General features: G+C 43.4%; 4 annotated features.

Moving 5' to 3' along the window:
• Window positions 12583–12632: a silencer, noted in NCBI's record as "silent region_5466". NCBI's record gives its function as "represses an Ori minimal core promoter by ATAC-STARR-seq in GM12878 lymphoblastoid cells {active_cell/tissue: GM12878}" and the evidence as "EXISTENCE:reporter gene assay evidence [ECO:0000049][PMID:35858748]".
• Window positions 12643–12712: a silencer, noted in NCBI's record as "silent region_5467". NCBI's record gives its function as "represses an Ori minimal core promoter by ATAC-STARR-seq in GM12878 lymphoblastoid cells {active_cell/tissue: GM12878}" and the evidence as "EXISTENCE:reporter gene assay evidence [ECO:0000049][PMID:35858748]".
• Window positions 13019–13188: an enhancer, noted in NCBI's record as "experimental_33558 CRE fragment used in MPRA reporter constructs". NCBI's record gives its function as "activates a minimal promoter by MPRAs in K562 erythroleukemia cells, with activity observed for both the introgressed and non-introgressed 13:99804376 or rs61968301 variant alleles {active_cell/tissue: K562}" and the evidence as "EXISTENCE:reporter gene assay evidence [ECO:0000049][PMID:34662402]".
• Window position 13104: a transcriptional cis regulatory region, noted in NCBI's record as "Neanderthal adaptively introgressed variant 13:99804376 (GRCh37/hg19 assembly coordinates) or rs61968301 in the experimental_33558 CRE". NCBI's record gives its function as "modulates activity of the experimental_33558 enhancer by MPRAs in K562 erythroleukemia cells {active_cell/tissue: K562}" and the evidence as "EXISTENCE:reporter gene assay evidence [ECO:0000049][PMID:34662402]".

The following is a 15632-nucleotide window of genomic DNA, read 5'->3' on the forward strand; positions in this document are numbered from 1 at the left end:
TTTTATTTTTTGAGATGGAGTCTCGCTCTGTCGCCCAGGCTGGAGTGAAGTGGTGCGATCTTGGCTCCCTGCAACCTCCGCCTCCTGGGTTCAAGCGATACTCAGCCTCCGGAGTAGCTGGGACTACAGGCGCATGCCACCAGGCCCGGCTAATTTTTTGTAATTTTAGTAGAGATGGGGTTTCACCATATTGGCAGGCTGGTCCCTGGCCTCAGGTGATCCACCCACCTCGGCCTCCCAAAGTGCTGGGATTATAGGCGTGAGCCACTGAGCCCTGCTGAAAAAAAATTTTTTAAATACATATCTATCTTCATAAATCTCATAAGTAGGAGTATTATTCCCGGGAGGTTTTGTCATGAGGTATCCTTATATCCTCTCAGTAATAATTTTATTTTAATTCTATGTGAAGCAGAAAATTCTTCATGGTTGGGACGAGTGAAAAGGTGCCACACCATAAAAATCCAGGAGGTAAAGTCCCTTATTTCACCAGCTGTTTAGACATCTGTGTACCCATCCTTGATTTGGAGGGTCTGAACTAATTCTGTCCCTCAAAACCAGCCCTTACAATCTCATGCACCCACCTCTTCCATGATAGTCCCCGGGCCCAGAGGGAGGGTGCCTGTACGGTTTTAGTAGCTGGGTATTTGCAGTGAAAAACAGATCAGGCCAAGTGGGATTCCAAGTACAGGAGACGCACAGGCTTTGTCAAATCATCTCTAGTCTTCAGAAGACCATGATTCTGGTGTTCTTGCATGAAGTAAAACTATGAGAGATAAGTAATGTTAACAATTTGACAATTAAAAGAGAACGTGTGTGTCAGAACAGAAGAAGGAATCTATTCCATTAGGGTGCCAACTAAAAACATGAAGAAAATTATAACCTGGATTCTTGCAGCCAGAAATAACTCATGATTCAATCTGTACGCAAAAACAAAACCCAGGGCTGGAATCTAGTAATAGGTGTTATAGTTTTCCTTTGAAACAATTTCTCTCTCTTTCCAGCCCTCCTTTTCTACTAAAGAAAAATTATTGGAAGACCAGCATTTACTATGGCCTGAGTAATAGTCATATTCAGTGGGAGAATATCTGAAGTTTATTTAAAGGTTATATATAAATGGTGAAATGTTCACATCTTAAGTGGGCCATTTAGACAACTTCAGTCATCTGTGTAACCCAAATTCTGGGTGCAGAGGTGACACGCAGCACATTACCATCACCCAAAAAGTTCCCTGATCCCCCTTTTTTTCTTGGAGACGGAGTTTCACTCTTGTTGCCCAGGCTGGAGTGTAATGGCATGATCTTGGCTCACTGCAACCTCTGTCCCCCAGGTTCAAGAGATTCTCCTGCCTTAGCCTCCCAAGTAGCTGGGATTACAGGCAGGTGCCACCACACCTGTGTTGCAGGAAGTCAGGGACCCCGAACGGAGGGACCGGCTGAAGCCACGGCAGAAGAACATAAATTGTGAAGATTTCATGGACATTTATTAGTTCCCAAAATTAATACTTTTATAATTTCTTACACCTGTCTTTACTGCAATCTCTGAACATAAATTGTGAAGATTTCATGGACATTTGTTAGTTCCCCAAATTAATACTCTTATAATTTCTTATGCCTGTCTTACTTTAATCTCTTAACCCCGTCATCTTCATAAGCTGAGGATGTATGTCACCTCAGGACCCTGTGATGATTGCATTAACTGTACAAATTGTTTGTGAAACATGTGTGTTTGAACAATATGAAATCAGTGCACCCTGAAAAAGAACAGGATAACAGCGATTTTCAGGGAACAAGGAAAGATAACCATAAGGTCTGACTGCCTGCAGGGTCGGGCAGAATAGAGCCATATTTTTCTTCTTGCAGAAAGCTTATAGACGATGTACAAGTAGGAGAGATATCGCTGAATTCTTTTCCTAGCAGGGAATATTAATCATTGAGACCCTGGGGAAGGACTGCATTCCTGGGGGTAGGTCTATGAACGGCTGCTCTGGGAGCGTCTGTCTTATGCGATTGAGCTAAGGACTGAAATACTGGTCTCCTGCAGTGCCCTGAGGCTTACTAGATTGGGAAATTCCAGCCCGGTGAATTCTAGTCAGACCAGTTGTCCGCTCTTGAACCCTGTTTCCTGTTAAGATGTTTATCAAGACAATGCATGCACAGTGGGACACAGACCCTCATCAGTAATTCTAATTTTGCCTTCGCCTTGTGATCTTTATGGGCTTTTGAAACATGTGATCCTTGTGACCTACTTCCTGTTCGTACACCCCTCCCCTTTTAAAATCCCTAATAAAAACTTGCTGATTTTGCAGCTCTGGGTCACCATCACGGTCCTACCAATATGTGATGACACCCCTGGAGGCCCAGCTGTAAAATTTCTCCCTTTGTACTCTTTCTCTTGAAATATTGGGAGCTGGTTCCCCCGATAACCTGGCTAATTTTTGTATTTTTAATAGAGACGGGATTTCACCATCTTGGCCAGGCAGGTCTCAAACTCCTGACTTCAGGTGATCCACCTGCTTCAGGCTCCCAAAGTGCTGGGATTACAGGTTGGAGCCTCGGCGCCCAGCCTCTGATGCCATTTTTGAATTACTCCTGGCTCCTACTCCTCCCCAGAGGCAACCACTATCTGATGTTCTTACCCCTTAGATTATTAGTTCACCTGTTTTTGAACTTCATATACATGGAATCATACCATATGTACTCTCTTGTATCTGGATGCTTTTGATCAGAATAATGTTTCTAAGATTCATCTGTGTTGTTTCATGTAGAAGTAATTTGTTCCTTTCTAACACTGAGTAGAATTCTACTGTATGAATATACCACAATTCTTTTATCCATTCTCCTATTGATGGACACCTAGGCTGTTTCAGTTTTGTGCTACATTTTCAATCAAATTATGCTTTTAAAAATTATCATTTATCGGCCAGGTGTGGTGGCTCACACCTGTAATCCCAGCACTTTGGGCGGCTGAGGCAGGTGGATCACCCAAGGTCATGAGTTCGAGACCAGCCTGGGCAACATGGTGAAACCCCATTTCTACTAAACATACAAAAAAATTAGCCAGGCGTGGTGGTGGGTGCCTGTAATCCCAGCTACTCAGGAGGCTGAGGCAGGAGAATCGCTTGAACCTGGGAGGCGGAGGTTGCGGTGAGCTGAGATCATGCAACTGTGCTCCAGCCCAGGGAACAAGAGCAAAACTCCATCTCAAAAACAAACAAACAAACAATTATCATTTATCAAGGTTTGTAATATATTTTTGTAAGTTTAATCAATGTTGGACTAAGAATAATTATAACAGCAGCTTCATCCAAGGGAAATGTTTAACACTTTTAATTTTATACTCATGGAAAGTTAAATTCATATACATATTTTTATTGCAAACTATCAAGAAAGAGTAAGCAATAAAACACATCCAAGCATAAAAAACTTTAGGATAAACTTCTAAGTGGGAGGTGGAAGGAAATAAGAATTCAAAAGGAAAAAAGAAACAACATGAACTGTCCAAATGTTAATGATGATCTATATTTTTTAAATGGATGATGTGAGTTTTAAATTGATACAGCAATTGCATTCCAGTGGGTATATCTGAAAAAGTTACATAAACAGCTTAAGCATCAAACCATCAATATTTATAATACTCCAGAAATGGCCAACGTAGGATGAAAAAAATTAGATGTCAACATAAAAATATGTGAAGAGGTTCATAGTTTTCCTAAATTATTTTAAGGAATAGATAAGAAAAATTGTTTGAACACTGCTGAAGATGATTTTTTGGAGCCTCTAGTCCTACTTTTTCTGTTACAATTGTTGTGTAACAAATTACCCCAGGATTTGTGGCTTAAAACAACACCACTTTATTTATGCTCAGATACTGGGGGCCAGGAATTCAGACAGTGAGAGTAACTTGTCTCTGCTCCACAACATCTGGAACCTTGACTGGGAAGACTCAAATGCGGGGCGACCTGAAGGCAGGGCTGGAATCACCTGAAGGCTCCTTCACGCCCATGTGTCACCCAGGCCTGGCAGGACTCGAGGGCCTGGACTGCTGACCCCAGGCAACCAGGTGGCCTCTCTCACTGGCTGAACTCCATGTGTGGCCGCTCGAGTCTCTGAGTGAGAAGGTGGCAGTGGGCAAGGACAAAGAGGCATCACCTTTTTGACCTGCCCTCGGGAGTCACCCAGTGCCACTTTTGCTCATTCTACGGGTTGAAGCAGTCTCAGGTTGTTAAGGGATGAATTATGTCCCCTACAAAGACATGTTGAAGTCCTAACCCCTGGTCCCTGTGAATGTGATTTCTTTGGAAATAGCCTTTGTAGGTGCAATCAAGTGAAGATGAATGCACTCAGATGAATCCACCCCCTAACCCGGTATGACTGATGGCCTTATAAGAGAAGGAAATTTGGACACACAGACAAAGACACAGGGAGGACGCCATGTGAAGACAGATCAGAGATCAGAGACAGAGATCACAGGCAGAGATTAGAGTGAGGAGTCTATAAGCGAAGGGGTGGGGAATGAGATTTTCCCCCAGAGCCTCCAGAAGGAACCAATCCTGCTCTTAACCTGACTTTGGACTTCCAGAACTATGAGAAGATATGTTTTCATTGTGTAAAGCCACCCCTAGTTTGTGGTCACTTGCTGAGGTAGGCCTAGGAAACTAATACACATCCCACTGAGATATAAGGAGAGAGGCTCTAGACCCCACCTCCCCATGAGAGCAATGTCAAAGAGTTGTAAACTCTACAGTTTCTGTAGAAAAAAAATGAGCTGCTGTATTTCAAGCACTTATATTGCTACTCATTGGATAACTCATAATTAAATATAGGTGAAAACAAATCTTTTGTACATAAAACAATTCAAAAGTCCATTTAAAATACCAGGAAGAGGCCAGGCACTGTGGCTCATGCCTGTAATCCCAATACTTTGGGAGACGGAGGCTGGAGAACCACTTGAGGCCAGGAGTTTAAGACTAGCCTAGGCAACATAGTAAGACCCCTGTCTCTACGAAACAACTAACCAATTAGCTGGGTGTGGTGGCACACACTTGTAATCCCAACTAATGAGAAGGCTGAGGTGGGAGGATCACTTGAGCCCAGGAGGTCGAGGTGGCAGTGAGCCATGATTGTGCCACTGCATTCCAGCCTGGGCAACAGCGTGAGACCATGTCTCACAAAAAAAAAAAAAAAAAAAAAAGAAAGAAAAAAAAATCAGGAAAAGAAAAATAGGAATCTCTCTCCCAATAGCTATTATTTATTATCCTAAATCTAGTCTTAGGCTCTAATTAATTATTCTGTAGCGGCAATTGTCATCCATGGATCTCAGTATGTTTTGAGAACACCATCAATTAGGCGATCATCTTTGGTAGGTTTGGGTCATATTTTGTATCTCAGAAAATTGAAACTGAGGTAAGCAGTTTGGGCCAACTGCAACCCAGATGGTCAATCAGTGTGGTTTCATTAAAATGTCATCGTCTTCTTGTCTGTGGTCAAGCTCTAACCCCAAAGCGGAACTGAATTGACTTTTCAAAGCCTTCCTTGGGGAAGATTGCCTGTCTCACACCAACGTCTCTTCCCTTTTTCCACCAATGTGGCTTGGAACACACCTAAGAAAATCGTGAGTGCCTTCACATTGGTTCATTGATTTTTCCTTTGAAAAAGTCTCTTTTTGCTGAAAACTAACATGCCACAGATCCTGTTACAGAAAATAGACAGTACAGAATTTTACAAGTTCCTGGCATATTATCAAAAGAGCTCATTAATTTGTGAAAAAGATGGTAAAAGTGGGGAGTCTTGCAGAACAAAACAACTGACTGATGAATTTTTCTTTTTCTTTTTTCTTTTTTTTTTTTTTTGAGACAGAGTCTCGCTCTGTTGTCCAGGCTGGAGTGCAATGGTGTGATCTCAGCTCACTGCAACGTCTGCCTCCTGTGTTCAAGCGATTCTCCTGCCTCAGCCTCCTGAGTAGCTGGGACTACAGGCACACACCACCATACCCAGCTAATTTTTGTATTTTTAGTAGAGAAGGGGTTTCGCCATGTTGGCCAGGCTGGTCTTAAACTCCTGACCTCGTGATTTATCTGCCTCAGCCTCCCAAAGTGCTGGGATTACAGGCATGAGCCACCGCTCCCAGCCTGATTTTTAAATTTGGATATCCTGGAGCCTTACCAAAACCTAAGGGTCATGGGTGAACCCAACCATTTGGGAAAGGGGGAGGTAAGTACCATACCCTTGTGTAATGTTTTTATAATTGTTCTTCCAGAAAACGTTCACTTTTTACATGTCAGGACAGCAGAGTGTAGCACATAATTATTCCTAGTTATTTAATCTGTATTTGTTTCCTCCTCAATTAAGTTATAAGCCTCTTGAAGGCAGGAAATGTTTTTTTTTTTTTCCTGTTGCTCACAGTTCCATCACGACTAGGTACATAACAGGTGCTTAACCTGGGGACGACAGTCAAAATCTTTAGCAACTGACCAATTAGAAAGAGCACTGGCCATAGCATTGAAAAGCACCCCCAGCTGTGCCAGGCACTCTAGTTACTGGATTATAGGAAAGTCCAAGGAAATTCCAGGGAAGGAACCAAAGCAGTGGAAAATATCTGGGGCCCCCAGGGTGGTGGCTGTTTACCACTCAGTACAGGACTATTTATATAGTTCGACAATCAATGTTTAGCTATAGCCATAAATACAAGCTGAATATCAGCCCAGAAAAGTGAACGTTTTCTTTAAAAAAAAAAGAAGAAGAAGAAGAAAAATGCAGGCCGGGTGCAGTGGCTTATGCCTGTAATCCCAGCACTTTTGGGAGGCTGAAGGGGGAAAATAACTTGAGGTCAGGAGTTTGAGATCAATCTGACCAATATGGCAAAACTCTCTCTACTAAAAATACAAAAATTAGCCAGGCATAGTGGCCAGCACCTGTAGTCCCAGCTACTCAGGAGGCTGAGGCAGGAGAATCACTTTGAGCCCCAGAGGTAGAGGTTGCAGTGAGCCAAGATCGAGCCACTGCACTCCAGCCTGAGCGACAGAGTGAGACTCCGTCTCAAAAAAAAAAAAAATTGCGAAACTATTATTATTATCTCCTTTTACCAGAAGAGTTCACTGAGGCCCGAGACGCAAAGTTATGCTTTCAAAATTACACCAATAAGTTAACCACGGGACAGGAAACCAGCAGCCAGTGTTCTTGGCTCCAAATTTCACTGACCAGACAATCGGATGTATTGGGTGATATTATGGCTTTGCCTCTGTTCCCTCGGATCCCTTTCTACTGTTTTTGTAGATTCCCTTCGGGATTTCTTTGATTTTCAAAAGTGACGTCTGCTGCTTTTCTGTGGAGAACCACCATCTAGCACTGGGGGGTAGTCTAAAACCTGTGACCTGACCAATGGGGTGCTGGGGCAGGAAGCCCAGCGCCCTCGCCTGGGACGCCCACTCTATGTTGCCGGCTGTGGGACTTGGCCTAGCTCGCCCCTTTTGAGGCTCCCGCGGCTGCTCTGTCCACCTCCCTAGTCCCTTGGTGGCTTCAATAGTGGGCACCCCCTTAGCAAGTCACTCCCACGCCAATCAAATTCTAGGGAATCCACTGCACATACTGGGTGGTTTCAAACCACAGAAATGTATTCTCTCCCAGTTCTACAGGCTTGGAGTCCCGCAGGAAGGTGTACGGCAGGCCAGGCTCCCTCTGAAGGCTCGAGGGGAGAAGCCGTTCCAGGCCTTTCTCTTGCTTCTGGTGTTGCCATCAGTCCTTCTGTTCCTTGGCTTCTAGACGCGTCCCTCCCGCCTCTGCGTCTGTCTTCCCATGGTATTCTTCCTGTGTCCTGATCCCTCTTTTCATAAGGACACCTGCCATCTTGGATTCATGGCCCACCCTAACTCTAATAAGTATGACCTCATCTTAGCTTGATGACATCTGCAAAGACCCTGGTTCCAAATAAGGCCACAGTCACAGGTGCGGGGGCAGGTATTGGCTAGGGCTGGGAGGGGAAAATCTGTTCCAGGTCTCTCTCCCCTTGGCCATCTTCTCTCTATGTCTCTTCACATCGTCTTCCCTCTATGCATGTCTGTCTCTGTGTCCAAATGTCTCCTTTTTATAAGGACACCAGTCATAGTGGATTAGGGCCCACTCTAATGACCTCACTTTAATTTGCCTCTGTAAAGAGTATTTACAAATAAGGTGACATTCTGAGGTATTGGGGGTTCAACATATGAATGGGAGGGCACAATTCAACCCATAACAGCAACCTGAGACATTTTATGTATTAATATTTCATGAAGATCAAGAATATAAACACAAAAAATAGCATGCACTGTATATAACACAGTAGTCATAGTTGCCAATTGTTATTCAAATATCTTAAAATAATTTTTGGTTTTTTTTGAGATGGAGTCTCGTTCTGTCACCCAGGCTGGAGTGCGGTGACACGATCTCGGCTCACTGCAATCTCTGCCTTCTGGGTTCAAGTGATTCTCCTGATTCAGCCTTCCGAGTAGCTGAGACTACAGGCATATGCTACCACACCCAGCTAATTTTTGTATTTTTAGTAGAGACGGGGTTTCACCATGTTGGCCAGGCTGGTCTCAAACTCCTGACCTCAGGTGTCCATCCACCTTGGCCTCCCAAAGTGCTGGAATTACAGGCGTGAGCCACGATGCTTGGCCTAAATATCTTAAAATAATTTTTTAATTTCTCTGAATCATTGGCCATAAAATCAGAAATATTATTACAACTTTATATATGGGACTTATGGATTTTACAACATTTGCACTTTTATTTTCTATAGTTAAGGTTAGATTCTATTTCTGCTACGTACCTGTTTTGAATTGGAAATTATATGCCCTTAAGTATTGTTTTGCAAGAAACAAATGACTCATTAATAACACCATAAATAACCCATACGGTGGGTAAGCATGTGGGCTCTGATGTCAGAGTGCTTAGATGTGCATCCTGGCTCTATAACTTACTAGCTGTGTGGCCTTAAGGTAAGCCCATTAAATTCTGACCTTTCGTTTCTTCATCTTTAATGAAGAGATGAGGGCAGTACTGTTGTTATTACTATTATTATTATTTAGAAACAAGGTCTCTCTCGCTCTGTTGCCCAAGCTGGAGTGCAGTAGCTCGATAATAACTCACTGCAACCTGAATTCCTGGGCTGGAGCAACCTGCCTGCTTCAGCCTCCTGAGTAGCTAAGACTATAGACGTGTACCACCATGACTGGCTAATTTTGAATTTTTTTTAAGAGACAAGGTCTCACTATGTTACCCAGGTTGGCTTCAAACTCTTGGGCTCAAGTGATCCTCTTGCCTCAGCCTCCCAAGGTACTGAAATTACAGGCATCAGCCACTGTGCCTGGGCTAGTACTGTTATTTTGAAGCACTTTGCACAGTGTTTATTCAGAATAAACACCCACCAAATGTTAGCTATTATTTTGTCTGCAGTATTGGTATATATGTATTTGTTTAGTAAGAGATGGAGTCTCGCTCTGTCGCCCAGGCTGGAGTGCAGTGACGTGATATTGGCTCACTGCAACCTCCACCTCCCGGGTTCACGCAGTTCTCTTGCTTCAGTCTCCCGGGTAGCTGGGATTACAGGTGCCCACCACCACACCCGGCTAATTTTGGTATTTTTAGTAGAGACAGGGTTTCTCCATGTTGGCTAGACTTGAAGTATTAGTTTATACACAATAATTCTGAAAAGGAAAAGATGTAATAGAAGTGGAATTTTTACAATCTAAGTAAAACCTCACATTTTCTAGAAAAGTATTACTAATATTTTCCTTTAAAATGACTGCATATAATCAGTTCCTTTCTTTTCTTTTCTTTTTTGAGATGGAGTCCCACTCTCTGGCCCAGGCTGGAGTGCAGTGGTGTGATCTTGGCTCACTGCAAACTCCGCTTCCTGGGTTCAAGTGATTCTCCTGCCTCAGCCTCCTGAGTAGCTGGGATTACAGGTGCACCCCACTACACCTGACTAATTTTTGTACTTTTAATAGAGAGAAGGTTTCACCATGTTGGCCAGGCTGGTCTTGAACTCCTGACCTCAAGTGATCCACCCGCCTCAGCCTCCCATGGTGCTGGAATTACAGGCGTTCAGCCACTGCGCCTGGCCTACCAGTTCTTTTCTCTTTGTCTTAACAGTTTTGTAAAAATAGGTCATTCTTAAATATGGTACAAATTAAAACATCATAAAAGGAAATACAGGAAAAAGTAGATTTCTTCTCCTTTACTCCAAATTCTCACATCACCTTTCCAGAGACAACCACTGTTAAATTTCTTACATATCTTCCCAGAAACAATCTATGCATATGCAAGCGATAGATGTAATGTATGTGTGTACATCCCTACCCACATTTGTATACGATAGCATCTTGTATCTTCTGCATCTTGCTTTTTATAATTTAATGATACCTCTAGAAAATTTATCTTATCCATGCCAAGTAATATTGTTTCATTCTTTTCACTGTTGGATTGTCTACTCTATGGACGTACCAGAATTAACTTACCCAGCCCCTACCAATGGGCATTTGGCTGGTTTCTTTTGTTGCTGCAACGTGCATTTGCATCTTCATGTTCATGTGCAAATATATCTGTAAGACACATTCCTAAATGTAGAACTGCCAAGTCAAAGAGCATATGCCTGTTAAAATTTGGTTGGTGCTTTTTAAATTGCCCTCCAAAGAGAATGAACCAATGGTACCAGGCCCCCTCATCACCATCCAGGCATTTTTACACTTTTTGAATTTTTCCAATTTTCTAAGTGTCAACTGCATCTCATTCAACTTTGAATTTGTATTTTTGTTATTAGAGTGAGACTGAGTATCCTTTCATTTGTTTAGAAAGGCTTGGCTGGGCACAGTGGCTCACACCTATAATCCCCGCACTTTGGGAGGCCGAGGCAGGTGGATCACCTGAGGTCAGGAGTTCAAGATCAGCCTGGCCAACACGGCAAAACCCCGTCTCTACTAAAAATACAAAAATTAGCCAGGTGTGGTGGCAGGAGCCTGTAATCCCAGCCTCTCGGGAGGCTGAGGCAGGAGAATTGCTTGAACCCAGGAGGTGGAGGTTGCAGTGAGCTGAGCTTGCACCACTGCACTCCAGCCTGGGTGACAGAGCGAGACTCAGTCTCAAAAAGCAAACAAATAAACAGAAAACAATGAAATGCTTTATACTTTATTATGAACTATTCAAAATTGGCCCATTTTCTCTTTGAATATTAATTTTTCTAATCATCTTTATTAGCTTTTTTTATACTAAGGAGTCTAACCTTGAGCATGTCTGTTGTGACATTTTTCCTGTTTAATAATTGTTGTTGATTTTGCTATTGTCTTTTTTGTCTGGTAGACATTTTTAATTCTTTTTTTCTTCTTTGGTTAAATGTATTAGTAAGCCAGGAGATCATTGCAGTTCTTTAGGTGGGAGAGTGAGTTGGCTTGGGCTGGAGTGAGGCTGGTGTGTACAGAGAGAAATGGTAGGTTTGAGAATATAGGTATTGTGTTCCTGGAACCAACAAGCTTAGCTGATGTATTAAATATGGCGGTACGGAGAGGGGGGCAGATGAGGTGGGAGAAAGAGAGATTGACTCTGAGGCTTCAGGGCTGAGTAACCATGTGGACAATGATACAACTGACAGATGGGCAAGACTTTAGGAAGAGCCAGTCTCCAACCTGTTTTGGAAACCTGCTTCCACATGCCTGGTTTCATGACACCATACACGTTCGGGTCTTGTCCATTCATTGTCGACTGAGGTTCTTTCCATCAAAGTGAGATGTTGAGTCAGACTATGCATTGAGAGTGTCTGAAACCATCATTACTATGTTGCATATATTCCTAAGTAATGACTTAGAGATCAAGAGCGCTGACATAATGCCTGCCATGTTGTGGCCTCACCCTGTGTCTGCTTTTGATCTCTTCTGGGGACTTCAGCACACCATGCAATAAATGGGGACACACTGACCCACCTCTGTGTCTGGGCCTGAATTAAATAAATTTGTTTAGATTTCCCTGAGCTCACAAGTATTTGATGAATCAAGTACATTTAGCAACCTGGCCTGGCAAGCCAGTAACAAACAAAAACAGACTCGTCTGTGCATGCCCTCAGGGCCATGGTCTGTGAGCACCGTGGGGGAAGGCAGAGGAGAGGGTTGATTTTTTTAAGAGGCTTTGAAAATATAAAATTCCACATGGATGATTAATACTTCTATGCAGCATAATGGGTGTTGGCAACCAATGTGAAGAAATTCTTGTTGAAAGAGAAAAGACGATGTTATGGAATAATCTCCTCTGGGAACTAAAGCCACTTACAAGGAAATATTTGAAAGTCTATTTTAATTCCTATCTTATTCATGTCTTCCTTTGACAGTAAGTGAAGTGCATAGCACTATGGGACATGTCTAAAATCAGCTGCTAACTATTCATTTGGCTCAACTGCTGAGGCCAATGATCAATTCCTTGTGCTATATTGTATTGCCTGGAACCTAGTTGTGCTCATGTGTATTGTATTGTATTGTATTGTATTGTATTGTATTGTATTGTATTGTATTGTATTGTATTGTATTGATCTATTTGCTTATTTCTGTAGAGCTGGAGTCTTACCACTTTGCCCAAGCTTGTCTCAAACTCCTGGGCTCAAGCAATCCTCCCACCTCAGCCTCTGAAAGTTCTGAGGTTACAGGCATGAGTCACTGCACCGGGCCATGTCTATTTTATTCTTGACACATGGCCATATTTGCAGTGAGATTAAGTATGGGAGTAGCCATGTGACTCAGCAGAGTGAGGAGACCAGAGCAGCAAGACCTACCCAAGGTGGACAGAGCAAGTGGTCCCCTGCAGGTGCAGCGTTGTCTTGGTGGCTTCTAAGACTTTCTTTCCCTGGGCTGAACGGTCACATCACTGGCATTATTCTCCGGCATGACAGTGTTATATCTTGATGGCTACTGTTCAAATGCTTTCTTTTAAACTAGAAGTTAAAAAGACCTGTTAAATCACAATATCCACATAAATGGACTGGCTAGAGTTGACTCACCTTACCAAACAGGTGTATAGGACTCTAAAGGGGCCCAGGAGACATATAGAACCGCTAACTGCCAGTTCCAGGTGGGGAATTCTAGCCAGCAAAGTGGGAAGTGCACAGGGCCTCGCCAGACTCAAGGGCCCCAAGGAGAGGGCCCATGACTACTTTGTCCATCCAGATACCCTTGCCAGTTAAAGCCATATGTGGAACACACCAGTGGCCATTCTTGAAGCCTTTGTTGATGAAGGAACATGTGAACTGGCTACAGGGAGGGGAATCAGGCTCCATAAAGAGGCAGGGATGCAAGGGGCTGCTTGACATCAGCTCCCCTATCCCAAATCTTCCCTGAGACCCAGCTCAGGCACAGTGATAGCTCCTGAGAAGATGAAAACAAACAAAAAGACATATTCTGCAAACAATTTTTTGTTTAATTTTTTAAAATTTAAAACATCAGGAAAAAATCATGTGCAAGAAAAAAACTATTATAACAGTCTTAAAAAAATTTTTTTTTACTTTCAGAGATAAGATATATACACACAGCAATACACACCAATCTCAACTGAACAGCTCTATGAAAATTATTTCAAGTGACTCTGCATGCTTTCTTACTTGCTTCCTAAACTTTATAAAATTTCAAGTGAAACACTTGACTTGCTTTGTCCAAGAGAATGTGCTGGAAGTGACACTCTGGGACTTCTGAGGACAGGTCACAATATGCCTTGCAGCTTCTGCCTGGGAATCTTGGATCCCTTGCCCTTGGAATGCTCCCTCTGTGAGCCCAGATATCAGGCTGTGAAAGCTGCAAGGTGAGGTTGAGTGGGAGTGCTGTGAGGCACAGACCCAGCGGAGCTTCCAGCCAATAGCCAACTTCAATGCACATCATGAGAGTGAGCACCCATGGGTATTCAGCCCCGCCAAGTCTTCAGAGGACTGAAGCCCCAGTTGACATTTCATTGCGACTGCATGACAGACCCCAAGGGAGAACTTCCCAACTGAGCCCAGCCAACCCACAGGACTGTGGGTGGCTTGGTATATAGGAAGAGATAATGGAACTGCCTGCCATTCTGGGTGAAATCAGGGTCAGGAAAAATAAAATCAACAAACATATATTGAGCGTAAGACTCTGGAAGATACAAAGAGTATGTATATAGTTGAGATGGGGGGAAGGGACATTTATATAAGAGAGTAACAGAAGGTTCAAGGTAGCACATGACTCCTAAATACAGGTGTGCAGGGGGCAAAAAGATCAGCGAAGTCTAGAAAGTCTCTTTGGAGAGGAGAGATTTGAAATGAGAATGAAAAGCTAGGGGAGTAGACTCAGGCAGAGAGGAAGCATGAGGCATAGGTTCAGGCATGGTTTTGGAAAAGGGCCTAAGTTGAAAGATCAAAGAGATCAACTTGGCTGGAACACAGAATTTGCAAACTCATGTAGAGGATGATAAAGTTGGATGGACCTTGAATAACAAGGAAAACTGCTTTTCAAGAGAAAGGTTAGGGCAAGAGTTTTAGATTGAAGGCTGTCTGTGCTTAAGTGAGGGTAAGGCCATGGAGGAGAAGGTCTCTGAAGAAATGAGCTTCAAAATAACTTTGTAGGAAGAATATAATCATTTAAACCCATCACTTCTTTTTTATAAAATCCAGTTTCCTCAAAAGCAACTCCACACTGAATAGCAGGAAAAAGGGGGGCCATGCAAAAAGGGACCCGCTCAAAATTCTCACTATTAAAGAGGACAGTTGCAATCATGAGCAGTTCCACCCCAACAAAGGAGAAATGTGGGGATCAAAAGCAATCTAATTGGGCTGGGTGTGGTGGCTCATGCCTGTAATCCCAGCACTTTGGGAGGCCAAGACAAGTGGATCACCTGAGGTCAGCAGTTCGAGACCAGGCTGGCCAACACAGTGTAACCCTGTCTCTACTAAAAATACAAAAATTAGCAGGGTGTGGTCGCACACGCTTGTAGTCCCAGGTACTCAGGAGGCTGAGGCAAGAGAATCGCTTGAACCCAGGAGGCAGAGGTTGCAGTGAGCCGAGGTCACGCCACTGCACTCCAGCCTGGGTGACAGAGTGAGACTTGATCTCAAAAACAAAACAACACAACAACAACAACAACAACAACAAAATGCCAAAAGGAATCTAATTGAAGCTGAGGCCACTGATACCAGAGGGTAAGGACAGGGCCATTGCAGATATCTCAGTTACTCTTGAAGTCAGTTTCAGGAAGGGGCCACATCCTCTTTAGCCAAATACTCTAGGCTTAGGGTTTTGCAAAGTCATCATAGGGTAGGTGCTCTGAAAGCAGACGCTGCGATGGAATTTGGAGTGTAAGATACTTATCAGGGGCCAGGAGTGGTGGCTCACACCTGTAATACCAGCAATTTGGGAGGCTGAGGTGGGCAGATCACTTGAGATCAGGAGTTCAAGACCAGCCTGGCCAGCAGGCTTTACTAAAAATACAAAAATTAGCTCGGTGTGGTGGTGCACACGTGTAATCCCAGCTACTGTGGTGGCTTAGGCAAAAGAATTGCTTGAACTCTGGGGGCGGAGGTTGCAGTGAGCCGAGATCACACCACTGCACTCTAGCCTGGGTGACAGAGTGAGACCCTGTCTCAAAAAAAAAAAAAAAGAAAAAGAA

Source organism: Homo sapiens, chromosome 13 (genome assembly GCF_000001405.40).
Source record: "Homo sapiens chromosome 13, GRCh38.p14 Primary Assembly".
NCBI classification, from domain to species: Eukaryota; Metazoa; Chordata; class Mammalia; order Primates; family Hominidae; genus Homo; species Homo sapiens.